Here is a 27694-nt window from a genome sequence, read left to right as displayed (position 1 = left end):
GTGGGTTCAGGTGATCCTCCCAACTTGGCCTCCCAAAGCACTGGGATTACAGGTGTGAGCCACTGCTTTGGCTAAAAAATAATTTTTTTTTTTTTTTTTGAGACGGAGTTTTGCTCTTGTTCCCAGGCTGGAGCGCGATGGTGTGATCTTGGTTCACTGCAACCTCTGCCTCCCAGGTTCAAGCGATTCTCCTGTCTCAGCCTCCTTAGTAGCTGGGATTACAGGCTCCGGCCACTGCACCTGACTACGTTTTGTATTTTTAGGAGAGATGGCGTTTCATCCTATTGGTCAGGCTGGTCTCGAACTCCTGACCTCAGGTGATCCACCCGCCTCGGCCTCCCAAAGTGCTGGGATGACAGACATGAGCCACTGCGCCTGGCTAAAAAATAATTTTAAAAATTAGCCAGGCATGGTGGTGCACGCCCTAGTCCCGGATACTCAGGAGGCTGAGGTGAGAGGATCACTTGAGCCCAGGAAGTCAAGGCTGCAGTGAGCTGTGATCATAGCACTGCACTCCAGCCTGGGTGACAGAGTGAGACCCTGCCTCAAAAAAGAAAATGTTAAACGTCAGGGTCATTCCACTCCGAGGCATTTATCCAGGAGAAGGAGAATCTGTGTCCTCACACAGCCTCGTGCGTGAATGCCCAGAGCAGCATGATTCACAGTAGCTCAAAACCGGAAAACCCGCAGACCAGCCAGTGAGTGCAGAAACAAACCGCGGTTCACAGATTCCATGGAATTTGGCAGTCAAAAGAATTCCTGGCTGGGCGCAGTGGCTCACGCCTGTAATCCCAGCACTTTGGGAGGCCGAGACAGGCAGATCACGAGGTCAGGAGATTGAGACCATCCTGACTAACACGGTGAAACCCCGTCTCTACTAAAAATACAAAAAAATTAGCCGGGCGTGGTGGTGGGCGCCTGTAGTCCCAGCTACTCGGGAGGCTGAGGCAGGAGAATCGCTTGAACTTGGGAGACGGGTTGCAGTGAACCGAGATGGCACCACTGCACTCCAGCCTGGGTGACAGAGCAAGACTCCATCTAAAAAAAAATAATAATTTTTTTTTTGTAGAGATGGGGTCTTTCTATGTTGCCGAGGCTGGTCTCAAACTCCTGGGCTCAAGTGATCCTCCTGCCTTGGCCTCTCGAAGTCCTGGGATTACAGGCATGAGCCACTGCTCCTGGCCTGATTTTATTTTCGACTCAGGGGGTATATATGAAGGTTTGTTATGTGAACCCTGAATATCTGAGACAGGTCTCAGTCAATTTAGAAAGTTTATTTTGCCTGGCCGGGGGCGGTGGCTCACGCCTGTAATCCCAGCACTTCGGGAGGCCGAGGCGGGCGAATCACCTGAGGTCAGGAGTTGGAGACCAGCCTGAACAACATGGAGAAACCCCGTCTCTACTAAAAATGCAGAATTAGCTGGGCGTGGTGATGCATGCCTGTAATCCCAGCTACTCGGGAGGCTGAAGCAGGAGAATTGCTTGCACCCGGGAGGCAGATTTTGTGATTTTGTGGTGAGCTGAGATCATGCCATTGCACTCCAGCCTAGGCAACACTAGTGAAACTCCATCTCAAAAAAAAAAAAAAAAAAGTTTGTTTTGCCAACATTAAGGATGTGTGCCTGTGACACAGCCTCAGGAGGTCCTGACGGTATGTTCCCAGGGTGGGTGGGGCACAGGTTGGTTTTATACATGTTAGGGGACATGAGACATCAATCAATATATGTAAAATGAACATTGGTTCAGTCCAGAAAGGGGGGAAACTCTTAGCTGGGAGGGGCTTCCAGGTCATAGGTAAGAAACAGACCATTGCATTGAGTTTCTGATGAGCCTTTCCAAAGGCAGCAATCAGATACGCATTTATCTCGGTGAGCGGAGGGATGGCTGAGTTCTCTCTGTCCTTTGTCTGCAAGGAATTTCCTTGTGGACAGATTGGGAGGGAGGTATGTAGCTTTTTTATCTTGGTAGCTGTCTTTTTAAGGAATAGAACAGAAGGCTGGTTTGCCCTAAGCGGTTCCAGCTTGATTTTTCCCTTTGGAGTAGTGATTTTGGGGTCCAGAGATTCCTTTTTCTTTTCTTTTCTTTTCTTTCTCTTTTTTTTTTTTTTCTTTGACGGAGTTTCGTTTTTGTTGCCCAGGCTGGAGTGCAATGGCGTGATCTCGGCTCATCACAACCTCCGCCTCCCGGGTTCAAGCGATTCTTCTCCTGCCTCAGCCTCCCGAATAGCTGGGATTACAGGCATGCATCACCACACCCGGCTAATTTTGTATTTTTAGTAGAGACGGGATTTCTCCATGTTGGTTAGGCTGGTCTTGAACTCCCAACCTCATGTGATCACCTGCCTTGGCCTCCCATAGTGCTGGGATTACAGGCGTGAGCCACCGCACCTGGCCTTTTTTGTTTGTTTGAGACGGAGTCTTGCCCTGTCGCCCAGGCTCGAGTGCAGTGATGCAATCTTGGCTCACTGCGACCTCCACCTCCTGGGTTCAAGCAAGTCTCTTGCTTCAGCCTCCCGAGTAGCTGGGATTACAGGTGCACGCCACCATGCCTGGCTAATTTTTGTACTTTTTTAGCAGAGACGGGGTTTCACCATGTTGGCCAGGCTGGTCTTGAACTCCCGACCTTGTGATCTGCCTGCCTCGGCCTCCCAAAGTGCTGGGATTACAGGGGTGAGCCACTGCACCCAGCCTGTGTGCGGCTAAGTTTTAAACTTTTCGTAGAAAAGTAGGCAAGGCGGAGTCTTGCTACATTGCTCAGGCTGATCTTCAGCTCTTGGGCTAAAACGATCCTCCTGCCTTGGCCTCCCAAAGTGGCGTCTTTCTTTTGATGTTGACGTAGCCACTCCAGCTCTCATGGTTTCTGTTTGGATATAAAGGAAAATCTGTTTTTACTCCTCATAGGAGTTCTGGCACTGTGTGTGGGTTTTCCACAGCAAGTGATTCCTCATCTTGTAGATACAAACTGGGCATACTACAATTTTTTTTTCTTTTTTTTTTTTTTTTTTGAGACGGAGTCTCACTCTGTCGCCCAGGCTGGAGTGCCGTGGCGCAATCTCAGCTCACTGCAAGCTCCGCCTCCTGGGTTCACACCATTCTCTTGCCTCAGCCTCCCGAGTAGCTGGGACTACAGGCGCCCACCACCACGCCTGGCTAATTTGTTTTTGGTATCTTTAGTAGAGACGGGGTTTCACCGTGTTAGCCAGGATGGTCTCGATCTCCTGACCTCATGATCCACCCGCCTCGGCCTCCTAAAGTGCTGGGATTACAGGCATGAGCCCCTGTGCCCGGCGGCATCCTACAATTTAACTCAACCCTCACACCCACCATCCAGAGTGAGCACAGACCCCACAGGTGGTCAGCTGAGCCCCGTGCCACCCACGTCAGATGCCTGTTGCAGGGGCGAGTCCCCAGGTGACCCACACTTCTCTCTGACTAAAATCAGGAGTCCCACATCTCCGTCCTTGAGCTTGATAATTAGCCATAACAGCTTACAGAACTTCGAGAAATACAGTTATCAGTTTGCCTGTAATCACAGCGCTTTGGGCAGCTGAACTGGGAGGATCGCTTGAGCCCAGGGGTTTGAGACCAGCCTGGGCAACATAGCGAGACCCCGTCTGTACAAAACATTTAACAGTTAGCTGGGCATTGTGGCTTGTGTGTGTGTTCCCAGCTACCGGGAGGCTGAGGTGGGATCATTGCTTGAGTCCAGGAGGTTGAGGCTGCAGTGAGCTATGATCGTGCCACTGCACTTCAGCCTGGGTGACAGAGTGAGACCACACCTGTAAAAACTAAAAATAAAAATGAAATAAAAATAAATGAAAGATTTAATAAAGGACATCTCTTCCAGGCGTGGGGGCTCACACCTGTAATCCCAGCACTTTGGGAGACGGAGGCGGGCGGATCATCTGACGTCAGGAGTTCGAGGCCACCCTGGCCAACATGGTGAAACCCCATCTCTACTAAAAAAATACACAAATTAGCCAGGCATGGTGGTGCTATGCTTGTAGTCCCAGCTACTCGGGAGGCTGAAGTAGGAGGCTCACTGGAACTCGGGAGGCGGAGGTTGCAGTGAGCCAAGATTGCGCCACTGCACTCCAGCCTGGGCGGCAGAGCGAGACTCCGTCTCAAAACACAAAAACAGCAAGGACATCTTGCAGCCAGATGAAGAGGTTCACATGTCCAGAGGGTATCGGAGCACCTGCACCTGTGTCCTGTGGGCTCGGGACGGCCACCCTCGTGGCACGTGGATAAAGTCACCAGCTTGGAGGTTCAGCCCTGTGGTTTAAGGCTCTTCATGGACGTTGCATTGCGTAGATTACATCACGGAATCATTGGCCCTTTGTGCACCACACAATTCTTTCGGTCTTTAACCTGTTTTCTTTTCTTTTTGAGATGGAGTCTCAGGCTTGTAGCCCAGGGTGCAGTGCAGTGGTACGATCTCAGCTCACTGCGACCTCCGCCTCCAGGGTTCAAGCAATTCTCCTGCCTCAGCCTCCTGAGTATCTGGGATTACAGGTGCCACCACGCCCGGCTAATATTTTGTATTTTTAGTAGAGACGGGGTTTCACCGTGTTAGCCAGGATGGTCTTGATCTCCTGACCTCGTGATCCACTGCCTCGGCCCCCCAAAGTGCTGGGATTACAGGTGTGAGCCACCGTGCCCGGTGCCTCCTGGGTTCTAAGTGATTCTCCTGCCTCAGCCTCCTGAGTAGCTGGGACTACAGGTGTCCACCACCACACCTGGCTAATTTTTGTATTTTTCATAGAGACAGGGTTTCACCATGTTGGCCAGGCTGGTCTCGAACTCCTGATCTTAGGTGAGCCGCCCGCCTCAGCCTCCCAAAGTGCTGGGAGTACAGGCGTGAGCCACTGTGCCCGTCCCCCATCCTTTCTGTCTCTGAATCTGAGGACTCTGGGGACCTCCTAGGAGTGGATCACACAGGATTTGTCCTTCTGTGCCTGGCGTCTGTCATAGAGCACGACGTCTTCAAGGCGCATCTGCACCGGGTCCTGCATCAGAGCCTCGTTCCTGTTTGTGGCTGGGTCGTGTTCCAGTGCGTGGGTGGTCGCACCGTGTCTGTCAATGGACGCTGGTTGTTTCCCCCGTTCGGAGTTGGGAATCGTGCTGCTGTGAGCAATTGTGGATGTGTTTTTGTGTGGCCGTGTGTTCTCGATTTGTTTGGAAGGGGAAGGGGTTACAGATACATGAAGGGGGGAACAGCCGGGAGTGGGGCTGGGGACTCACGGTGGGCAGAGGAGGCAGTAGCGGTGCCCAGGGGTCGAATCCTGAAGGCCCATGCAGGTGTCTCCAGGGAGGGGCTCGGTGTTGGAGGAGCCCCTGCCTTGGGGACCGGCAGAGCTGCCTGGGGACCCGCCCATGTCAGAGGTGCTCCCTGATTCCAAACTGCATGGACGGCCCACGCCGGGCCCACTTGAGTGCCTCCTGCTTTCTGCTTTTGAACCCTCCTCAAAGGTTTTCCCCACAGGAGACCAAGATACATTTTTAAATCAAGAAAGAGAAGTCCCACGCACAGGTACTCTATTTCTGGAACATCGTGTGGGAGGGGAGCGTTTGTCCTGGGGCACCAGCTGTGGGTGATGGCGCAGGGCCCTGAGGCCTGGGCCCTTGAGGACGCGGCCAGGAGGGCAGACGGGCGGGCGGCAGTCCCAATGCCCACACACTGGGGGGGTCAAACTCAGTGGGTTCATCCTCTGCCAGTCCCGGAGCCCAGGACCATGGATCAAGGCGTCCGAGGGCGGCGCTCCCTCTGGAGGCTCAAGGGAGGATCCTCCTGCCCCACCCAGCTTCTGGGGACTCCAGACGTCCTTGGCCTGTGGCCGCATCGCTCCAGTCCCTGCTTCATGCGGCCGCCCACTCTGTTTCTTTTTTCTTTTTCTTTTTTTTTTTTTTTTTGAGGTGGAGTCTTTAGTCTTGCTCTGTCACCCAAGCAGGAGTGCAATGGCGTGATCTTGGCTCACTGAAACCTCCGCCTCCCGGGTTCAAGCAATTCTCCTGCCTCAGCCTCCTGAGTAGCTGGGATTACAGGCACCCACCACCACGCCCAGCTAATTTTTGTATTTTTAGTAGAGACGGGGTTTCACCATGTTGGCCAGGCTGGTCTCCCAACTCCTGACCCCAGGTGATTTGCCTGCCTTGGCCTCCCAAAGTGGTGGGATTACAGGCGTGAGCCACTGCACCTGGCCTTTTTTTTTTTTTGAGACAGAGTCTTGCTCTGTTGCCCAGGCTGGAGTGCAGTGGCGCAGTCCTGGCTCTCTGAAGCCTTGACCTCCTGGGCTTAAGCAGTCCTCCTGCCTCAGCCTCCTGAGTCGCTAGGATTGCACTTGCTCACCACGATGCCTGGCTAATTTTCAATGTTTTTGTAGAGATGGGGTCTCACTATGTTGCCCAGGCTGGTCTCAAACTCCTGGGCTCAAGCGATCCTCCCGCCTTGGTCTCCCACATGCTGGGATGACGGGTGTGGGCCACCGTGCCCGGCCTGTTTCTCCTCCTTCCAAAAACACCAGCCACTGTTTAGGGCCAGCCTTCCCCGGCGCCTTCGTCCTGACTCACGGAGTTAGCACCGGCCTGTTTCCGCCGGGCCTCGCATTCCGAGGTTCGGGGCGGATGTGGAAGCTGTGGTCGGGGCCCATGTGGAAGCCACTGCGTTGGTTTCTGACCTGACTCTGGGGTGCAGTCAAGCCCTGGGCTGGACCGGGTGGGCTGAGGGCCTGCGGGGTTTAGGGGGGCGCGTGTGGTGGGAGGAGAGCGAGGAGCTTCTCCTCGGAAGACGGGGGCTTTCCCGGGAGCTGTGTGGAGGTCGCCCAGCCAGTCCTGGAGGTTCAGCTGTGCAGGAGTGAGAAGCAGGTCCCATCCGTGCGGAACCACCTGTAGCTCCGGAGCTTTCCGGGCGTGGGGAGGCTGTTGAGAGCCGGCACTTGCTGTGGTGGGAGACTTGGAAGGGGACAGGTGGGGAAGAGGTGACGCAGGGACCGCAACGTCCTGGGGCAGGTGCTCCGCCGCGCGCAGGCCGAGCGTCTGTGATCCCACTTCGCGAGCGTCTGTGAACCCGCCCCACCAGCGTCTGTGCCCCTGCTGAGTGTCTGTGACCCCCCTATGCTGTGTGTGCTCTCAGCCCCCTGGGAGGCCATCGTGTGGGCAGGCCCTGGGGACTGTACATGGACAGCACAGAGTGGCGTCTTGAGCCTGGGAGCCGTGGAGTTCTCCCCACCCCATACAGACCTGGCCAAACGCGGGTTCATAGCCGGCTCTTGGGGAGGCACCAGCAGCCTTTCTCTGCTCACCGCACCCTCCTGCCTGTGGCGATATCGAAGATCTGAGCCACTGAGTGGGCCCCATAGGCAGCCTGAGCTTCACACGGGGCAGAACCCCCAGCGTCCTCACAGCCACCGCTTTCCCAGCTGGGGCCACCCCTGCTGCCTCCTAACGCTCCTCCCACGCTCCTGCTGTTCCTGGGCCTCCATGCCCTTCCCCATGGACGTGGCGGCTCAGATGACCCCACAGGGCTTCCCTGGGCCTTGCGTTCCTGATGGGACCACGCTCCTCTCTCTTCTCTCACTCAGTGGGGGCTGTTCGGCCATTTGGTCCTCGTCTGTCTCCCTCAGTGAGGCCAGGCCCTGTGCCTGTAGCTGACTCCCTGGGAAAGCTTGTGCTGATGAGGGAATGCGTGAGCAGGAGAGTGATAGAGAGTAGACGAGTGTGAATGAATGAGTGAATAATGAGACTAAGTGGATGAGTGCATGTGGGAATGAACGAATGTGTGTGTGTGTGAATGGGTGAGTGAATGAGTGTGCGATGAATGAGAAAGTGAATGAATGCATGTGTCATAAATGAGCAAGTGAATGCATGCCCACGGGAATGAATCAGTGGATCAATGAATGCATGTGTGGATGAATGAATGAGTGCATGTGTATGAGTTGAGTGAATGTACATGGAAATTAGTTAATGAATGAATATGTGAATGAATGAGTGAATGAACGCCTGTGTGAATGAATGCATGTGAATGAGCGAGTGAATGCATGCATGAATGAACGTATGTGTGAATGCATGTGTGAATGAACACGTGTGAATAAATGCATGCATATGGGAATGAGTGAATGAGTGCGTGCCTGACGCCTGGAAGGAAAGAGAGAGGATGGTGAGGGCTGGCAGAGCGTGAGGCCCTGTGTGGCCCAGGGCATGGTCCTAGCCCTGCCTGTCCTTGCCGTGGGTCCGTCTGCATCACCCTCCTGCTGTCCCAGGCCCCTTCCAGAAGCCTCTGCCATCGGGGGGCCTGGTACATGCCTGCTGGAGGCTGGCAGGGAGCCCTAGTGGGGTGGTCACCCAGGATACCGGGCTGGCCCTCCCGGCCGTGGGGTGGCGGCCACGGGCTTAACCAGGGCCTTCTCTCTCCCGTACCAGGTTCGTGCTGGCCGTGGGCAGCGCCGTCTTTGATGCCATGTTCAACGGGGGAATGGCCACAACATCCACGGAGATTGAGCTGCCCGACGTGGAACCCGCTGCCTTCCTCGCACTGCTCAAGTAATGCTTCCGGATGCTTCCTGCTGGGGAGCTGGGCCTGGGGAGGGGGACCTCAGAGAACGTAGACCCTGTCTGACACCAGCTCAGAGGCCCTGGCTTGGTGGAGATTTCTAGAACGTTCCTGTGCAATGAGGGGTTCCAGAGGCACTTTTTTTTTTCTTTTTGAGATGGAGTCTCGCTCTGTTGCCCAGGCTGGAGTGCAGTGCCGTGATCTTGGCTCACTGCAACCTCAGTCTTCCAGGTTCAAGTGATTTTCCTGCCTCAACCTCCTAAGTAGCTGGGACTACAGGCTCGTGCCACCACGCCCGGCTAATTTTTTTGTATTTTTAGTAGAGATGGGGTTTCACTGTGTTAGTCAGGATGGTCTCGATCTGACATCATGATCCACCCACCTCAGCCTCCCAAAGTGCTGGGATTACAAGCCTGAGCCACCGCGCCCAGCCCAGAGGCACCCTTTTTATTTTATATTTTTTAGACGTGGTCTTGCTCTGTTGCCCAGGATGGAGTGCAGTGGTGTGATCTCAGCTCATTGAGACCTCCGACTTCCTGGTTCAAGTGATTCTCCTGAGTACCTGGGATTACAGGTGTTCACCACCACACCCAGCTCATTTGTGTGTTTTTCAGTAGAGACAGCGTTTCTCTATGTTGGCCAGGCTGGTCTCAGACTCCTGGCCTCAGGTGATCCGCCTGCCTCAGCCTCCCAAAGTGCTGGGATTACAGGCATGAGCCACTGTGTCCAGCCAGTTCCCTGCTTTTCTTTTTCTTTTCTTTTCTTTCCTTCTTTTTTTTTTTTTTTTTGACAGTTTTGCTCCTGTTGCCCAAGCTGGAGTACACAAACAAAAAATAACAACAACAACAAAAAAAAGGAAACATCAGTGAAAGAAATTTAAAAAGACACAATAAATGGAAACACATCCCATGTCCATGGATTGAAGAGAATATTGTTAAGATGTCCACACAACCCACTGCGATCTGCAGTCAGTATAATCCTATCAGAATTACTGTTTTTTGCAAAAATAGAAAAACTATCCTAGAATTCATATGGAATCCCAAGGGACCCTGAATAGCCACAACGATCTTGAAAAAGAACAAAGTTGGAGGGCTCATACTTTCTGATTTCAAAACTCACTGCAAAGCTACAATCATCAAAACAGTGTGGTACTGGCGTAAGGACAGAACGTGGGGACCAATGGAATGGAACAGAGAGCTCAGAAATAAATACCTTTGCACATAGGGTTAAATAATTTTTTGCAAGGGTGCCAAGGCCATTCAACAGAAAAGAGAGTTTAACAAATAGCACAGGCACAACTAGAAATACACATGCAGAAGAATGAAGTTAGACCCTTACCTTACTGTATATAAAAATTAACTCAAATAGATCAAAGTCCAGGCTGGGCACGGTGGCTCACGCCTGTAATCCCAGTACTTTGGGAGGCTGAGATGGGCGGATCACGAGATCAGGAGATTGAGACCATGCTGGCTAACATGGTGAAACCTCGTCTCTATTAAAAATAGAAAAAATAAATAAAAAATAAGAAAATTAGCCGGGCATGGTGGCGGACGCCCGTAGTCGCAGCTACTTGGGAGGCTGAGGCAGGAGAATGGCGTGAACCCGGGAGATGGAGGTTGGAGTGGACTGAGATCATGCCACTGCACTCCAGCCTGGGCGACAGAGCGAGACTCTGTCTCAAAAAAAAAAAAAATAGATCAAAGTCCAAAATGTAAGATCTAGACCTGTAAAATACTTAGAAGAATCCAAAGTGGCCAGGCGCAGTGGCTCAGGCCTGTAATCCCAGCACTTTGGGAGGCCGAGGTGGGTGGATCATGAGGTCAGGAGATCGAGACCATCCTGGCTAACACGGTGAAACCCCGTCTCTACTAAAAATACAAAAAAATTAGCCGGGCATGGTGGCAGGCGCCTGTAGTCCCAGCTACTCAGGAGGCTGAGGCAGGAGAATGGTGTGAACCCAGGTGGCAGAGCTTGCAGTGAGCTGAGGTCATGCCACTGCACTCCAGCTTGGGCAACAGAGCAAGACTCCCTCTCAAAAAAAAAAAAAAAAAAAAGAATCCAAAGTATGGCTAGGCGCGGTGGCTCACACCTGTAATCCCAGCACTTTGGGAGGCTGAGGTGGGTGGATCACCTGAGGTCAGGAGTTGGAGACCAGCCTGGGCAACAAGGCAAAACCCCATCTCTACAAACATACAAAAATTAGCTGGGCATGGTAGCAGGCACCTGTAACCCCAGCTACTCAGGAAGCTGAGGCAGGAGAATCGCTTGAACCTGGGAGGCAGAGGTTTTAGTAAACCAAGACTGCGCCACTGCACTCCAGCTTGGGCGACAGAGCGAGACTCTGTCTCAACAACAACAAAAAAAGAAAAACCAGAATCAAATCTTCATGACATTGGGTTTGACCATGATTACTTGGATATGACACCAAAGACACAGCCAAGAAAAGAATAAACAAAGACATTGGACTTAGGGAAAATGTTAAAAATGTATACCTCAAAGGACAATACCGGCAGAGTGGAAATGCCACCCACAGGCTGGGAGAGAAAAAAAATATTTTTTTATTTTTTCATTTTTTGAGATGGAGTAGCGCTCTGCCACCATGGCTGGAGTGCAGTGGCACGATCCTGGCTCACTGCAACCTCTGCCTCCCGGGTTCAAGTGATTCTCCTGCATCAGCCTCCTGAGTACCTGGGACTACAGGCACACGCCACCACGCCTGGCTAATTTTTGTATTTTTAGTAGAGACCCGGTTTCATCATGTTGGCCAGGATGGTCTCGATCTCCTGATCTCATGATCCGCCTGCCTCAGCCTCCCAAAGTGCTGGGATTACAGGCCTGAGCCACTGTGCCCAGCTGAAAAAAAAATGTGTTTAGAGACAGGATCTCACCATGCCCACACTGGTTTCCAACTCCTGGTCTCAGGCAATCCTCTCGCCTCTGCCTCCCAACGTGCTGGGATTACAGATGTGAGCCACTGCTCCAGGCTGGAGACATTTTTTTATTTTTTATTTTTTTTTTGAGAGGGAGTCTCACTCTGTCTCCCAGGCTGCAGTGCAGTGATACGATCTTGGCTCACTGCAACCTCCGCCTCCTGGGTTCAAGCGATTCTTGTGCCTCAGCCTCCCAGGTAGCTGGGATTACAGGTGTCTGCCACCACACCTGGCTAATTTTTGTATTTTTAGTAGAGGGGGATTTTGCCATGTCGGCCAGGCTAGTCTCTAACTCCTGGCCTCAAGTGATCTGCCCGCCTCGGCCTCTCAAAGTGCTGGGATTACAGGCGTGAACCACCAGGCCGGCCTGTGCTGCTTTTTTTTTTTTTTTTTTTTTTTTTTTTTTTTGAGACGGATTCTCGCTCTGTCTCCAGGCTGGAGTGCAGTGGCGAGATCTCAGCTCACTGCAACATCTGCCTCCCAGGTTCAAGCGATTCTCTTGCCTCAGCCTCCCAAGTAGCTGGGACTACAGGCGCCCACCACCACGCCCAGCTAATTTTTGTATTTTTAGTAGAGACGGGGTTTCACCATGTTGGCCAGGCTGGTCTGGCACTTCTTGACCTCAGGCGATCTGCCCGCCTCAGCCTCCCAAAGTGCTGGGGTTACAGGCGTGAACCACCAGGCCCAGCCTGTGCTTCTATTTTTGATCGGCCCAACTTCTGATCTGTATTCAGTGTCGTGTGGGCCCCTCGCTGGCAGGTGGTAATAGCGTCCATGATTATCCATGATCCTAATTAGCGTGTTGGGTTCTATGATCCACCCAGAAGTGGTTGAGGTTTTCGGTGGTGCCCGAGGTGGGGAACCAACAGTTCCTCATGGAAAAGGTGCCCAAGAAGGAGACACCCAGCTCCCAGTGCCCTCTCCTGGGGCATCCCGGGCAGAACAAGACAGGCCATATAGACGCTTCCGGGTGTGTGCTGTGTAGATGGGTTCAGCCTCTTGCTCGTTTTCATGGGTGACCACCTTGCCAAGTCGTGTCCCTATGTCAGAGGGCAACGGACAGGGGCTAATTCTGGAAGGTTCCTCGGGGAACCTGATGTGGGTGTTTGGGTCCTGCCAGCTCAAGGGCCGGTGGCCGAGTCTAACGGTCTGAGTGGTCCCCTGACGCTCTCCCCTGGGGGCGGGCATGGCGGTCCCACCTCACGGCCACCCGCGTTGCTTCTGCAGGTTTCTCTACTCGGACGAGGTGCAGATTGGCCCGGAGACGGTGATGACCACGCTATACACCGCCAAGAAGTACGCGGTGCCAGCGCTCGAGGCCCATTGCGTGGAGTTCCTGAAGAAGAACCTGCGAGCCGACAACGCCTTCATGCTGCTCACGCAGGTGGGCGGGGCCGGTACGAGGCGGGGGCGGGGCCAGGCCTGGCTGGAGGCGGGGCCGGGGTGGGGCGGACCGAGGCTGGAGGCGGAGGCGGGGCCGGGGGCGGGCCCGGGAGGCAGCAGGCTCCTGCCTGGTAGTAAAATGTGTTTTGGGCCGGGCGTGGTTGCTCACGCCTGTAATCCCGGCACTTTGGGAGGCCGAGGCGGGCAGATCACCTGAGCTCAGGCGTTCCAGACCAGCCTGGCCAACATGGCGAAATCCTATCTCTACTAAAAACACAAAAAAGAGCCGGGCGTGGTGGCGGGCACCTGTAATTCCAGCTACTTGGGAGGCTGAGGCAGGAGAATTGCATGAACCTGGGAGGTGGAGGTTGCAGTGAGCCGAGATCGCACCACTGCACTCCAGCGTGCATGACAGAGCGAGACTCCACCTGAAAAAAAAAGATGTGTTTTGGACTTTTCCGTGATACTTCAAAAAATTATTGGCAGGGTGCGGTGGCTCACGCCTGTAACCCCAGCACTTTGGGAGGCCAAGTAGGGAGGATTGCTTGAGGCCCGGAGTTCTAGACCAGCCTAGGCAACATAGAGAGACCCCGTTTCTACAAAAAATTAAAAAAAGATTCAGGCCGGGCACTGTGGTTCATGCCTGTAATCCCAGCATTTTGGGAGGCTGAGACAGGCAGATCACCAGAGGTCAGGAGTTTGAGACCAGCCTGGCCAACATGGTGAAACCTCATCTCTACTAAAAAAAAATATTTCATAAATTAGCCAAGCACGCTGGTGCATGTCTGGAATCTCAACTACTTGGGGGACCAAAGCAGGAAGATTGCCTGAGCCCGGGAGGTTGAGGCTGCAGTGAGTGGAGATGGCGCCACTGCACTCCAGCCTGAGTGACAGAGTGAGACCCTGTCTCTAAAAAAAAAGTAAAATAATTTTTTTTTGAGACGGGGTTTCTCTTGTTGCCCAGGCTGGAGTGCAATGGCACGATCTCAGCTCACTGCAACCTCCGCCTCCAGCGTTCAAGCGATTCTCCTGCCTCAGCCTCCACAGTAGCTGGGATTACAGGCCCCCACCACCGCGCCTGGCTAAAAAAAAAGAAAAAAAAAAACCAGAGAGAACTTTCTCTCTCTCTCTAAGGAAATGTCAGGTAGACAGAGCAGGGCCAGGGATCTCAGGGGACCCCAGTTGGGCTCTGTGCAGCCCAAAGGGCGGGGGCTGGGGAGGTCGTGCAGGCCAGGGAGGCTGAGAGGACGTGGGGCCAGTACGGGTGGACGGCCGCTTGGGAGCCGTGAGCTCCTGGTCGGGGGTGGAGGGTGGCCAGAGGGGACAGCGGCACTGGGTCCTCCAATGGGCTTTGGGGGTCCGGCATCCTGGAAAGGACCCAGAACCTTCTCCCCCTCCATCCTGGCAGGTCAGATGCAGGGCATCCCGGACTCCCACAGGGAGGGGTTTCTTGTCCGGGTCATCTGGTCGCCTTGCTGGAGAGGCCTCTGCCTGAGCTGAGAGGAGGCTGGAGCTCACTCCCCGGGCTTCATCTTGTGGCTGCCTCAGCCTCCCTGCCCCTAAAACCACTACGAACCCACTTGAGAGGTGTCCTCGGGAGGATGCCCGCAGAAAGGCCTGCCCGGGTCCCTGCTGGCATAGGCCCTTCCAGCACCTTCCACTAACTAAGCCTCTGTTTCCCTAAGAGCACAGGCGTCCTCCAGCTCTGTCACCTGACTGTCAGAAGTCATGTCTGCTGTTTGTCTTGGGATGGAGCTGCCGGGGACACGGCCCCTCCCACCACAAGTGGCCAAGGGCATGTTGTGGTCGGGAAGCTTCACCGGTCGGCCCCGGCCACCTCACCTCTGCCTGCCACTCGGGGTCCTGGGCCCTGCTGCCCCCCGAGTGCAGCTGCAACGCCCCTTTTGCCTAAAGCAGCAGGCCCTGCCGACAGGGACCTGAGCATCTTTTTCTTCCTTCCTTGGCCTCTGAGGTCCTGAGAGGGAACTCCCCAACTCTCCCGCCCCAGTCAGCGGTCACAGGGGAGTCTCTGGGCCCACAACAGGGCCGGCCTGGTGGCTGAGACCCTGGTGGCTCCTGGCCACGCTCAGGAAGGCCCGTGTGGTCAGGGCTGCATTTGAACCGGCCCCGCACTGGGGATCTGCCGAGGGCTGGGTGCTGATGTCCCCACCGCGCCCCCCGTCGATGTCTCTTGCCAGGCGCGACTCTTCGATGAACCGCAGCTGGCCAGCCTGTGCCTGGAGAACATCGACAAAAACACTGCAGACGCCATCACCGCGGAGGGCTTCACCGACATTGACCTGGGTAAGGGCCCAGGAGCCCAGGTGTGGGAATCCCAGCGGGGCCTCGGCGGGAGGGTCCGGGGATTGACAGTGGGAGCTTTGGGCCTGGGGGAGTTGCACAGGTGAGCTGGGGCCTCACCACTTGCAGCAGGTCAGGAGTTTGGGTCCTAGCACAGCCCCACGGGAGTCCGGGGCCTTGGCCAGGAGGCCACAGGCCAGAGCCCACCATCCCAGCTGATGGTGACCATCTCGTCCTCCGATGGTCCATGGCTTTGACTTTGCTGTTGAACAGCTTTTGTCAAAGCTACTCAAGTCTGTCCTTGTGGCTTAAAAACAACCACAGCCGAGGAAAATGAAGGGGCGTGGTCTTGTGTTGATAAAGCTTTATTTATAAACACACTCACAGGGCCAGATTTGGGCCACGGGCCATAGTTGCCAGCCCGGCTTTAACTGCTGGTCCTCACGTTAGTCTCACTGCCTCCTGCAGGGTGGGCATGTGGGTGTCGTGTTCACGCAGCCCCTTCCTCCACCCCACAGACACGCTGGTGGCTGTCCTGGAGCGCGACACACTGGGCATCCGTGAGGTGCGGCTGTTCAATGCCGTTGTCCGCTGGTCCGAGGCCGAGTGTCAGCGGCAGCAGCTGCAGGTGACGCCAGAGAACAGGCGGAAGGTTCTGGGCAAGGCCCTGGGCCTCATTCGCTTCCCGCTCATGACCATCGAGGAGTTCGCTGCAGGTAACAGAGCTCGGGCTCAGGGGCTGGTTTGGGAGGGGAGTGGCACACAGGTGGGCATCTGGGTACCGAGGATAGTGCCCCCGAGTTCACTGCGGAAAGCCTGGCAGATGCCTGGCATATACAGATAGGAAGAAACCTGGCTTGTGAGGACGCGTCCACAGGGCCATCTGTTAGCCCCGGCCCGGCTCTGTCCCCACCGTGCACACTGCCAGACCCCGCCTCTCGTGTCTGTCCAGCTGTTTTGGTGGCATCTTCCCAGGAGGGAAGGGAGTCCCCGTCTCGCGCCCTTGTGCTACCTGCTGGTGCAGGTACCAGTGTCTGTGACGAGCTCAGGAGGGCTCTGACATGGCCGGGGTGGCTGTCATGCGCCCGAGTGGGCCTTGGGGTCCCCTGCTGCAGGGCCTGGGTTCCAGGGTGACGTGAAGGGGCAGCGCTAACGATGCCTCCTGCCCTCGTGGCTGCTCACTGCCTGACGCCATCCAGCTCTGGAGCAAAACAGGCCTGGAACTTTCCAGAAGGGGCTGGGACAGAGCCCTGGGGCTGGTGCACACTCGCCGTCTGGCCTTCCCCAGGTCCACGCGGCCCCCGCTCTTGCTTAGCTGAAGGTCGCCAGATTTAGCAAGAGGGTCTCTGTCGCCCAGGCTGAGTGCGGTGGTACAATCACAGCTCACTGCAGCCTCGACCTCCTGGGCTCAAGTGATCCTCCTGCTTCAGACTCCGGAGTAGCTGGGATCACAGGTGCCACCACCACACAAGGCTTATATTTGTATTTTTTTGTGGGGACAGGGTCTTGCTATGTCACCTGGGCTGGTCATGAACTGGGCTCCAGCCATCCTCCCATCTCGGCCTCACAAAGTGCTGGGATTATGGACATGGGCCACCGAGCCTGGCTAGATACATACTTCTTAAAAATACAACTGTTGATCAGCTGGGTGTGGTGGCTCATGCCTGTAATCCCAGCTACCCGGGAGGCTGAGGCAGGAGAATCACTTGAACCCAGGAGGTGGAGGTTGTGATGAGCCGAGATCGCGCCACTGCACTCCAGCCTGGGCAACAAGAGTGAAACTCCATTTAAAATAAAAAAATATATACAATTGTTGGCCAGGCTGGGTCACTCACTCCTGTAATCCCAGCACTTTGGGAGGCCCAAGATGGGGGGAATCACTTGAGGTCAGGAGTTTGAGACCAGCCTGACCAACAGGGTGAAACCCCGTCTCTACTAAAAATACAAGATTAGCTGGGCATGGTGGCGCATGCCTGTAAACCCAGCTATGCTGGAGGCTGAGGCAGGAGAATTGCTTGAACCCTGGAGACGGATGTTGCGGTGAGCCGAGATTACGCCACTGCACTCTAGCCTGGGGGACAAGAGCGAAACTCCGTCCTGCACTCTAGCCTGGGGGACAAGAGCGAAACTCCGTCTCAAAAAAAAAAAAAATTGTTAACATTGTTTATTGAGTTTTGATACTCAGTCTTCCTGATTCACTTAACCCATAATGGTCTGTTTCTCACCAGTTATTAAACTGTGTCTGCACTGGGCTGGCTTGCAGCTGAGCGATGCGGAGTTGAGCCCACCTTGGTTGATGAGTGATTAGGTCTCAGGCAGGCAGGGCTGCTCTCATTAGAGCAGAGGGTGCTGTGTCCTGGCACTCCTGGGGGTGGATGGTGGACCCCCAATTCTGCCCCTCCTGGCCTCCCCTCCCTACCCAGAGCCCCTTCACATCCCATGCACAGTCCCTCTGCCTGTGACATCTCTGCACCGGGATTAAGAGCCTGGCTCTTGGAGTCTGCCTGGGGTCCGCTAGCCATCACCCCTGGGGGTGTAAGCGCTTGAGAAGGTGTCTGCCTAGGGCCCACCGTGGAGAGGAACCCCCAGACTGCTTCTAGAAGCCAGGGCTGCAGCCTGGGGGGTACAGGCCTAGCAGGGAGCCACAGTGACCCCTCCCAGCCAATGGCCCTGAGAGAACAGGCAGTGGAGCCCCCCGCCCCCACCCACAGTGAAGTGACGGGTGGTCCCTACAGTGGGGCCAGACCCTGAGACATCACCCCTGAGTGAGTGCATCTGTCAGACCCTGAGGCATCGCCCCTGAGTGAGCGTATCTGTCGGCCTCTGGTCTGTGCCCTGGGACCTCTCCCTAAAAGCCCAGGCAGCAGGGGCCATGGCTGGTGGCTAGTCCCCCGGGGAGGGGCTGCCCAGGTCCCTGCACCTTGAAAGTCCGACGCAGACATCTTAGGGGGAAGGAGCGTGTCCTCCCAGGCACTCGGGATCCTGGGGTGCAGCCCGGCCCTCCCCCACACCCTCCCTGTGCTGCAGGTCCCGCACAGTCGGGCATCCTGGTGGACCGCGAGGTGGTCAGCCTCTTCCTGCACTTCACCGTCAACCCCAAGCCACGAGTGGAGTTCATTGACCGGCCCCGCTGCTGCCTGCGTGGGAAGGAGTGCAGCATCAACCGCTTCCAGCAGGTGGAGAGTCGCTGGGGCTACAGCGGGACCAGTGACCGCATCAGGTGGGGCTTGGGGTGCAGGCGGGGGGGTCCGGACATGGGGGTGGAGGACTCGGGGATGACGGAGATGGGGGGCCGGGCATGGGGGTGGAGAACTCAGGGATGATGAAGACGGCGGGGGGGCCGCCGGGCATGGGGGTGGAGGACTCAGGGACGATGGAGGGGACCGGGCATGGGGGTGGGCTCGCCCCAGCTCACCTTAGGCTATCCCTGGGTATCCACGCTGCTGCCTGTCATCTGCCACGGCAGGTTCTCAGTCAACAAGCGCATCTTCGTGGTGGGATTTGGGCTGTATGGATCCATCCACGGGCCCACCGACTACCAAGTGAACATCCAGGTACCAGCCCCAAGCCTCATCCCCAGGCCCCACTCAGGCCCATGTCCTCTCTCCACCTCCATGGAACCCTGGCTGAACCCCCGGCCCTGGTCCCTGTGCTGCCCCCACCCTGGGCAGGTGGGCTGGGCCTCGAGGGGTCCCCGTTGGCCCTCCCCAGGCCTGAGCCTCCCACTTCCCACCTCCCCGCAGATTATTCACACCGATAGCAACACCGTCTTGGGCCAGAACGACACGGGCTTCAGCTGCGACGGCTCAGCCAGCACCTTCCGCGTCATGTTCAAGGAGCCGGTGGAGGTGCTGCCCAACGTCAACTACACGGCCTGTGCCACGCTCAAGGTGCGCCGCCGGGGACAGGGGTCCCTCCGTGGGAGTCTCTGGCCCATCCTGAAGCCACCGGGGCACAGCACACACTCTCCAGAGGCAGCCACCCTGGCCCAGTCGGGGCCTTGCCCTGTCCACACCTGGGGCATCCCAGCCTGGTGGTCCTTGACCTCACTGTACCCCTATTCCCTACAGGGCCCAGACTCCCACTACGGCACCAAAGGCCTGCGCAAGGTGACACACGAGTCGCCCACCACGGGCGCCAAGACCTGCTTCACCTTTTGCTACGCGGCCGGGAACAACAATGGCACATCCGTGGAGGACGGCCAGATCCCCGAGGTCATCTTCTACACCTAGGCTGCCCGACACCGACACCGCCCTCCCTCCGTGGGGATAGCCGCAGCCCCAGGCCATCATCTGCTGCTGGGGCCCCCCCACCACGCGGTGCCAGGCCCAGTGTCCCCCAGGCCGTCTGTCCACTCCATGCCACCTTTCTCAGCATCAGGACGGGGTTGCCCTGTGTTCACCACGAGTGTGGCTGCTGGATCAGGGCAGCCGGGGAGGTGGCCAGGCCAGTGGCCAGGCCCTGTGGAGACAATCCCTCAGGACTAGGGACAGGGCTGTGCCGGCCTGGGCCAGGGCCCACGGACCCGCAGCTCAGGGCGCCTGCCCACGTCGTCTGCCGGCGGTGCGCCGCGGGCGTCCCTCGCGTCTCTTCACTGCACATTGCAATGCATTTGCGATTCCCATTTCTCTGCTAGGAGCCAGCCTGGGTGGCGCTGCTCCCAGAGCCGTGGGTCCCAGACCTTGCGTTCCTTTTGTTCCTGTCCGTTTATCAGGACACGGGCCCCACCTGTCACGTGCCCGAGGCCACCCAAGCCCAGCCTGCGGGGCGTTCCCACTGCCTGGATGCCGGCTTGAGTTCTGCGCACGCAGGATTCAGTGTGGGGACGGCCCCTGCCGGATAGGCCTAGCCCTGGCCCAGGTGGTGAGCGGTTTGCAGTGTCCGTTCTCATCCACCTGATGGGCCCAGATAAAGGCCCCCGCTGTCCAGCCTCCCTGGACGGCCCTCGCGGTCCCTGCAGCCCAAGATGGGACTCAGACCCTGTGCCCCAGAGCTCCCCTGCCGCAGAATGGGGCCCCAGCCGGCCCCGACCGGGTCCAGGAGCACTGCTCGCCTGTACATACTGTTGCCCTAGCCCACCTGGTGCCGTGGGAGCCACCCCCAGGTGCTGGGGGCACAGCCCCTCCCCACTCCGGCCACGCCCCCACCCACCCCGCGTGTTTCTGCCCTGTGACTCCTGGAACCTGCGTCCTCCCCAAAGCCATGGGAGGGGTGTCCTCCTCAGACCATGCCCCCAGATGATTTTTTTAAATAAAGAAACAAATGCACCTGCCTTGAGCGCACACTGCTTTGCTCCCCTTCACTCTCTGCCCTGTCATCCGGGCTGCAGTGGGCGAGGGATGTCGTGCGCCGAGAGGGGCCCTGAACCCCGGGTCTGGTCGCCAGTGCTGCGAGACCCTCCTTAAGTACCCACAGGCCACACTGAAGCCCGGGAGGTCGAGACTGCAGTGAGCAGTGATGCACCACTGCCCTCCCCCCTGGGCAAGAGCAAGACCCTAACTAACTCAACACCTCCCCCCAAACCCAAATGCAATGGACGTGTGTGCCGATTTCCCCGTGGGGAGGCCCTGCTGGCTGCTGGGGGACCGTGGATGTGAGAGATGGAGAGAAAGCAGGGAGTGCCCAGTTGTGGCCTCAGTGGCCAGAGAAGTCAAGCCGTTGGCTGCTGCCTCAGGAGCACACGTGCAGGGCAAGACATCAAGAAACCCGGCAGCAAGGCCGCGTGGTGGCTCACACGTCATTACAGCACCTTGGGAGGCCGGGCGGGTGGATCACCTGAGGTCAGGAGTTCAGGACCAACCTGGCCGACATGGTGAAACCCCATCTCTACTAAAAACACAAAAATTAGCCAGGTATGGTGGCAGGCACCTGTAATCCCAGCTACTTGGGAGGCTGAGGCAGGCGAATCGCTTGAACCTGGGAGATGGAGGTTGCAGTGAGCCAAGATGGTGCCATTGCACTCCAGCCTGGGCGAGAAAGCAAGACTCCGTCTAAAAAAAAAAAAGCCAGCCGCAAACAGTTGCCAGGAGGCTGAAGGCTGAGCAGATCTCCACAGTGCGCAGTGCTGGGAGCAGGCAATGGAGATGGAGGCTGGCGGGGTAGGGGGCCTTGTCGAACACCCTGGGGGCCGGGCGTGCTGGCTCACACCTGCAATCCCAGCACTTTGGCAGGCTGAGGCAGAACTGCTAGGGGCCAGGAGTTTGAGACCAGCCTGGGCAACACAGCAAGACCCCATCTCTAAAAAAATACATATTAAAAGGAAACACCTTGGGCTTCTAATGAAGACACCAGAAGGGCCACCCACCAGGAGCTAGGGCAACACTCCTGTGGGGAGGACAGAACGGAAGCCGTCATCACTCCAAAACAAAACCCTGGTAGGGTCTCACTGGGCTGCTGTTACGCTGGACCCTGCCAAAAGAAAACACAGCCCTGTGAAGAAACATCAGCACCAGCTTCTACCATCTGTCATTTACAACGTCCAGCATCCATTTAAAAATGACAGGCTGGGCGTGGTGGCTCATGCCTGCAATCCCAGCACTTTGGGAGGCCGAGGCAGGTGGATCATCTGAGGTCAGGAGTTCGAGACCAGCCTGGCCAACATGGCGAAACCCGTCTCCACTAAAAATACAAAAATTAGCGAGGCGTGGTGGCGTGCATCTGTAATCCCAGCTACTTGGGAGGCTGAGGCAGGAGAATCACTTGAACCTGGGAGGCAGAGGTTGCAGTAAGCCACGATTGTGCCACTGCACTCCAGCCCAGGGAGACAGAGCAAGACTGTCTCAAAAAAAAAAAAAAAAAAAAAAAAAGCCAGGTATGGTGGCTCATGCCTGTAATCCCAGCACTTTGGGAGGCTGAGGCAGGCAGATCACGAGGTCAGGAGATCAAGACCATCCTGGCTAACATGATGAAACCCCGTCTCTACTAAAAAAAACTACAAAAATTAGCCAGGTGTGGTGACAGGTGCCTGTGGTCCCAGCTACTTGGGAGGCTGAGGCAGGAGAATGGCGTGAACCCGGGAGGTGGAGCTTGCCAGTGAGCCGAGATCTCGCCACTGCACTCCAGCCTGGGCAACACAGCAAGACTCTGTCTCAAAAAACAAACAAACAAACATGCAAGGTGAAGCACAGTGAGTAAAAACAATGGAAAAACAGAACAGATCGAGATACGTGACACAGCCAAAGGGTTGAACGTATGTGTAAGTGGAGTCCCAGAAGGAGAGAGAGAGAATGAGACTCAAGCTATATGACAGCCAAGAATTTTCCAAAATGAATGAAAGACGTTGACCCACAATTTTTTTTTTTTTTTTTTTTTTTTTTTTTTTGAGACAGAGTCTCTCTCTGTCACCCAGGCTGGAGTGCAGTGGTGCAATCTCGGCTCACTGCAAGCTCCGCCTCCCGGGTTCACGCCATTCTCCTGCCTCAGCCTCCCGAGGAGCTGGGCCTATAGGTGCCTGCCGCCACGCCCGGCTAATTTTTTGTATTTTTAGTAGAGATGGGGTCTCACCGTGTTGGCCAGGATGGTCTCGATCTCCTGACCTTGTGATCCACCAGCCTCGGCCTCCCAAAGTGCTGGGATTGCAGGCGTGAGCCGCCGCGTTTTAAAAACTTTGTCAGTGGAGCATGCTGGCTCATGCCTGTCATCCCAGCACTTTGGGAGGCCGAGGTGGGTGGATCACTTGAGGTCAGGAGTTCAAGACCAGCCTGGCCAACATGGTGAAACCCCGACTCTACTAAAAATACAAACATTATCCAGGTGTGGTGGCACACGCTTGTAATCCCAGCTACTCGGGAGGCTGAGGCAGGAGAACTGCTTGAACCCGGGAGGTGGAGGCTGCAGTGAGCCGAGACCACGCCAATGCACTCCAGCCTGGGTGACAGCGAGACTCTGTCCCAAACAAACACTTTGTCAACCTGGAATGCCACTACCAGCAAAAACATCCTTATTAAGAAAGGTGAAATAAATATTTTTTTCAGGGAACAAATGCTAATTTGTAATTTGTTACCGACAAAGCTGCACTCGGCCCGGCGTGGTGGCTCACGCCTCTCATCCCAGGGTCACTTTCCCACCTCGTCCTCCGCAAGTGCCTGGACAACAGAGCCAGACAGGCAACCCTATCTCTACCTAAAAACAAAACAGAACAAAACAATTAGCTGAGTGTGGTGGTGCACGTCTATGGTCCCAGATACTTGGGAGGCTGAGGTGGGAGGATCGCTTGAGCCCAAGAGGTGGAGGCTCCAGGGAGCTATGACTGTGCAACTGCACGCCAGCCTAGGCCAGGCCCTGTCTCAAAAAAAAAAAAAAAAAAGCTGCACTGTAAGAAATATTGAAGTTCTTCAGGCTGAAAATTATCCCAGAGGTAGTTTTGGGATTCTGTCGCCCGGGCTGGAGTGCGGTGGCGAGATCTGGGCTCACTGCAAGCTCCGCCTCCCGGGTTCACGCTATTCTCCTGCCTCAGCCTCCCCAGTAGCTAGGACTACAGGCGCCCGGCTAATTTTTTGTATTTTTAGTAGAGACAGGGTTTCACCATGTTAGCCAGGATGGTCTCGCACTCCTGACCTCGTGATCCGCCAGCCTCGGCCTCCCAAAGTGCTGGGATTACAGGAGTGAGCTACCCTGCCCGGTCCCAGATGTAATTTCTGATCAGCAGAAAGAAATGAAGAGCATCAGAAAAGGTTAACATGTGGGTAAATATATAAAGCACATGACAAGTAGTCCTTATCCCCAAGCTACTGCCGGGAAAACCATCGATGAGCTCATTCCATTTCCCTCTTGCCATCTGACTCTTACAGGTGCATTATTTCTGCTTTGTCACAACATATTACGGTGGTACTGGTCTTCCACCCTTGCTGCCGGGTATGGGGTGTTGTCTGGGGAGAAGGCACGGGGCGGAGCCGGGGCTAGTGCTGCCAAGGTCTTCACCTGCCTGCAGTTTCCGCTGTTCTTCTGGGAGCTACTGCTGATTCCCTTCACAGTGTCGTGGCCCCCGTGGAGATGTTTTCTGCCCTGCTGCGTGAACAGAGGGAGTCAAGGAGGCCTTCCGCCGTCAGAGCAGCCAGGACCATCCTGCCTGGGCCCCGTCGCTGAGGCTTTCAGGTATATTTGTGTAGTGTCGGGGAACGGGACCCCCGGGGCCAAGTCGCATGTGTGTGACTTCCCCTTTCCATGGTACGTGAACACTCGTCTCCTGCCCTCTCCCCAGACAGAGCCCAGCTCTGCCCTCTGCTTCCATCTTCCTTACCTTCCGCCTCATCAGTCGGTTTCTGTTACCGGAGGCCGCCAGCCGCTCCGGACTCGTCCCGGACAGGCAGGATGGGGATGGAAGCAACGCCCGTTCCAGGTCAAGCTTCGTGGAAAGCCCAGACAAATCCCTCTACACTTGGGTTTGGTTTCATTTTTCTTTTATTTTTTTAAAAAAGCCCCTAAATTCTATGGCTTCAAGGGAGCATCAGAGAAACGTAAATGCCATTTCTGTACACTTGGTAAAGCAAAAACTAGACTCACAGCCACCGCCCTGGGCACGGCCCCAAGCTGCTCCACTCTGCCCGGCAGCCTCCAGGGCACCCCACTGGGGAACCGCCCGCCAGTCCAGGGCCGCCCCCAGGCCCCTGCAATATACCTGCAGGGCTGGGCCGGGGGCTTTAAGGCGTTTTGTCTCCGGCTGCTTGCCGGGTGTCGGAGCAGAGAGGCAGGAAGCTCCGTGCCCACGCGCCCCACGCGGCAGGGCTGAGGGCCGAGCAGGGTGACACCAACCGGTCCTCCCACCTCGGGTTCCAGGCGCCGGGGCGCAGCCTCCGGGAGCAAGTGCGTCGAGAAGCACCCGCCTGGCAGCGCCCACCCGCCCCTTGCCAGGGCCAGGCTGGGAAGAGACTGCAGCAGCCGTGCCCGCGGCGCCCGAGCTTTGGTGCAGCATTTTGGTTGGGGAGCCGGCTTCAGCCACGGCCCCACCCCTGCCTTCCCCTTTGGTTTCGGGGAGGCCTGGGGCACGGCCTCACCCCTGGCAACAATGCCTGTCCCCCTCCCAGGAGGGCCTGGGCAAGACAGCTCCACAGCACCCCTCCAGGCCGGGCCTGCCCTCCCCTCGAGAAAACGGCCTTTGGATCGAGGGAGACAAGCTGGACTTTATGACGCTAACGGGGGCGGCTGGCGGGGCGGGGCCAGGCCGGGGGGCCTCCAGGATCACACTACTCACTTCAGCAAAGAAACGGAGGGGCAGGAGTGGGGTAGGGCGGGCCTCTGTTTTTTTTTTCCTCTTTTCCTTGTTTTAAATAGTTAATGCTCTTGGAGGGGAGGACTAGACACAGGTGTAGAAATTTCGGCCAAAGTCTTACATGAAGGAAGTGACCCCACGTCCCGGGGGTGGGGCCGCCTGAGCCAGGCGCGGCCCCTGCAGTCTGCGTTCTGGCTTCCAGCCAGGGTCTGGCCCTGGGCCGCTGTGGGTGGGCCCCGAGGGCCTCGCACAAGGTCGCGCCCCAAGGGGCTGCACGGAGAAGATTCAGGGGGCTGCACGCGCCCAGGGTCACTTGTGTCGCTGCAGCGATTTTCTCTTTCTCCTCTTGAAGAAACAGCAGCATCTGAGGAGGGCAGTGGCTCAGGTAGGAGGACCGGGGTGCAGGGCGGGGGCAGCCCAGGCCTCAGGCCCTCCCACCCCCATGGGGACCCAGGGCACCCCCACCTCCCCGAAGGCACCGCCCCAGAGCCTTACTTGGTTTCATCGGCCACCTCCACCTCTGCAGGCGCTGTGATCGGGGCGTTGGAGTGGCCGGCCGTGGGGTCGTCCGCATTCAGCTCCCCGTTGGTGGAGTTCAACGCCTGGTGGGGGCAGTAGGGGGTCACGCTGGCCGCCCATGCCCCTCCCTGGGGCGGTCGGTCCCGCCCGGGCCTCACCTGGTTTTTGCTGTGCGGCTGGGTTTTGTCCCGGAGCTGAGGCTGGGAGGGCAGGTCGGTGTGGACGGTGCCGATGGGGGTCGGCTGTGGGTGAGGGAGCAGGGGTCAGGATGGGCTGCAGCGCCGGTTCCCATCTCCCTCAGGGCAGTTTCCCGGTCCCCCGCTCCCACATACCGGCACCCCCCCACCTACCAGGGGCTTCCCGGCCCAGTCGTACTCATAGTCGAACACGAAGCCACTGCGGTCGAAGAGGTCGGTGAAGAGCTTCCGCAGGTAGTCATAGTCGGGCTTCTCGAAGAAGTCCAGGCGCCGCACATAGCGCAGGTACGTGGCCATCTCCTCTGCAGAGAGAGCGCCAGCGGGGCCTCGGCGGGGGTGGGGGTGGGGGGTGGGGGGTGGGGGGCACAGGGCGGGGGCGCAGGGACCCCTTACCTGGGAAGTTCTCGCAGAGCACCTCGATGGGCGTGGCGCGTTTGGTGTCCCCGATCTTCTGGTACCGCTCCTTGAGCGTGTCGGCCTGCGGGGGTCTGTGGTCAGCCTTGCTCCCGCCCTGCGTCCCCGCCCGCCTGCCCGGCCTCCTCGCCCACCTTGAGCCCCTGCCAGGGGAGGCTGCCGCGCAGGAAGTACATGAACATGTGGCCCAGCGCCTCCAGGTCGTCGCGGCGGCTCTGCTCTGCGGGGACAGGGGCGCAGCCTCAGCGGGGTCCGGGCGCCCGCCCCCCGCCGCGCGCGCGCAGCTCACCCTTGCCCAGGTGCGTGTTGATGCTCATGTAGCGCGCCGTGCCCGTCAGGCTCTTGTGCTCGCGGTACGGGATGTGCTTCTTGGTCTCGGGGTCGATGTACTCCTTGGCCAGCCCGAAGTCGATGATGTGGATGGCATGCTGCCGCTTGGTCCCCGGGCGGCCCACCAGGAAGTTCTCGGGCTTCACGTCCCGGTAGATTAGGCTCTTGGTGTGCACATACTCCATGCGCGTGATCTGCAGGGGGGCACGGCGGTGTCGGCCGGGCCCCTCCCCGTCCCACGCGCTCCCCTCCAGGGCCACCCTCTTCCCTCCGAGCCCCGCCCCGCCCCGCCCGCCGCGCACCAGCTGGATGGCGATCATCAGCACCGTCTTGAGCGTGAAGGTCCGGTCGCACAGGTCGAACAGGTCCTCCAGGCTGGGCCCCAGCAGCTCCAGCACCATGGCGTTGTACTTCCCGCACGGACCGAAGTAGTAGACCTGAGGGACGCCCTCTGCGGCGGAGGACAGACGCACGGGCGTGCGGCGGCAGCCCCCTCCCTGCCCCTGCGCAGCCCCCGCCCCACCCGCGGGCCGCCCGGTACCTGTGGCGCTGAGCTGCTTGTAGAACCGGTACTCCAGGTGCAGCTGCGGGGCCCGGGACTTGATCGGCTCCTGGGGGCACAAGAGCGAGTCACCAGGGGACCGGGTCGCTGCCCTGAAATCCCTGGGGGGCACGTCAGCGGGGGTGGGGTGGAGGGGCCGACTCACCAATTTGATAGCCACGTATTCATTTGTATAGAGATTCTTTCCTGCGGGGACAGAGACCATCAGCACCGCCAGCGCAGGGCCCACCTAGCCCCGACCTCCCCAGCCCACCCCCGAGGCAGGAGGCAGGAGGGGGTCCCTGAAGGACCACCCTCCAAATGA

The 27694-nt window shown here is 57.2% G+C and overlaps 2 protein-coding genes and 1 long non-coding RNA gene across 15 annotated transcripts in view, besides 2 other annotated features; 1 reads left to right on the top strand and 2 right to left on the bottom strand.

Moving 5' to 3' along the window:
* The window catches only part of BTBD2 (BTB domain containing 2), a 30267-nt gene extending 9834 nt beyond the window's left edge, over positions 1-20433 (top strand). For 3 of the 5 annotated variants that reach the window (XM_047439068.1, NM_017797.4, XM_047439067.1), the window contains 8 exons: positions 8418-8537; positions 12705-12861; positions 15059-15164; positions 15680-15877; positions 18189-18381; positions 18628-18715; positions 18905-19051; positions 19232-20433. In XM_047439068.1, the coding sequence (XP_047295024.1) occupies positions 8455-8537; positions 12705-12861; positions 15059-15164; positions 15680-15877; positions 18189-18381; positions 18628-18715; positions 18905-19051; positions 19232-19393 (1134 nt within the window). In that variant the 5' untranslated portion in view covers positions 8418-8454 and the 3' untranslated portion in view covers positions 19394-20433. Of the gene's footprint in view, positions 1-8417; positions 8538-12704; positions 12862-13824; positions 14005-15058; positions 15165-15679; positions 15878-18188; positions 18382-18627; positions 18716-18904; positions 19052-19231 lie in introns of all 5 variants that reach the window. The other 2 variants (XM_047439065.1, XM_047439066.1) reach the window with 1 other exon arrangement.
* Positions 12069-12569: an enhancer, noted in NCBI's record as "H3K4me1 hESC enhancer chr19:1993311-1993811 (GRCh37/hg19 assembly coordinates)". NCBI's record gives its function as "activates a minimal SCP1, AML or CMV promoter by ChIP-STARR-seq in naive H9 embryonic stem cells {active_cell/tissue: H9 hESC(naive)}" and the evidence as "EXISTENCE:reporter gene assay evidence [ECO:0000049][PMID:30033119]".
* On the bottom strand, positions 15511-18189 carry LOC124904610 (uncharacterized). Its single transcript, XR_007067086.1, has 2 exons — positions 17387-18189; positions 15511-16923 (listed from the first exon to the last, which is right to left on the bottom strand). It is a non-coding gene; the product is annotated as an uncharacterized LOC124904610 (long non-coding RNA).
* Positions 20434-24542: 4109 nt separating the features above from the next.
* Positions 24543-27694, bottom strand: part of CSNK1G2 (casein kinase 1 gamma 2) — a 40167-nt gene continuing 37015 nt past the window's right edge. For 3 of the 9 annotated variants that reach the window (NM_001319.7, XM_047438185.1, XM_017026298.1), the window contains 10 exons: positions 27536-27576; positions 27370-27439; positions 27131-27279; positions 26788-27022; positions 26633-26718; positions 26478-26562; positions 26238-26386; positions 26046-26129; positions 25864-25970; positions 24543-25732 (listed from right to left, as the gene is read on the bottom strand). In NM_001319.7, coding sequence (NP_001310.3) covers positions 25678-25732; positions 25864-25970; positions 26046-26129; positions 26238-26386; positions 26478-26562; positions 26633-26718; positions 26788-27022; positions 27131-27279; positions 27370-27439; positions 27536-27576 — 1061 coding nt within the window. In that variant the 3' untranslated portion in view covers positions 24543-25677. Of the gene's footprint in view, positions 25733-25863; positions 26130-26237; positions 26387-26477; positions 26563-26632; positions 26719-26787; positions 27023-27130; positions 27440-27535; positions 27577-27694 lie in introns of those variants that run through there. The other 6 variants (XM_005259498.2, XM_047438184.1, XM_005259499.4 and 3 more) reach the window with 3 other exon arrangements.
* Positions 25617-26117: an enhancer, noted in NCBI's record as "H3K4me1 hESC enhancer chr19:1979763-1980263 (GRCh37/hg19 assembly coordinates)". NCBI's record gives its function as "activates a minimal SCP1, AML or CMV promoter by ChIP-STARR-seq in naive H9 embryonic stem cells {active_cell/tissue: H9 hESC(naive)}" and the evidence as "EXISTENCE:reporter gene assay evidence [ECO:0000049][PMID:30033119]".

This window comes from Homo sapiens, chromosome 19 (assembly GCF_000001405.40).
Source record: "Homo sapiens chromosome 19, GRCh38.p14 Primary Assembly".
NCBI lineage: Eukaryota > Metazoa > Chordata > Mammalia > Primates > Hominidae > Homo > Homo sapiens.
This window is presented reverse-complemented; position numbering and strand designations above follow the sequence as displayed.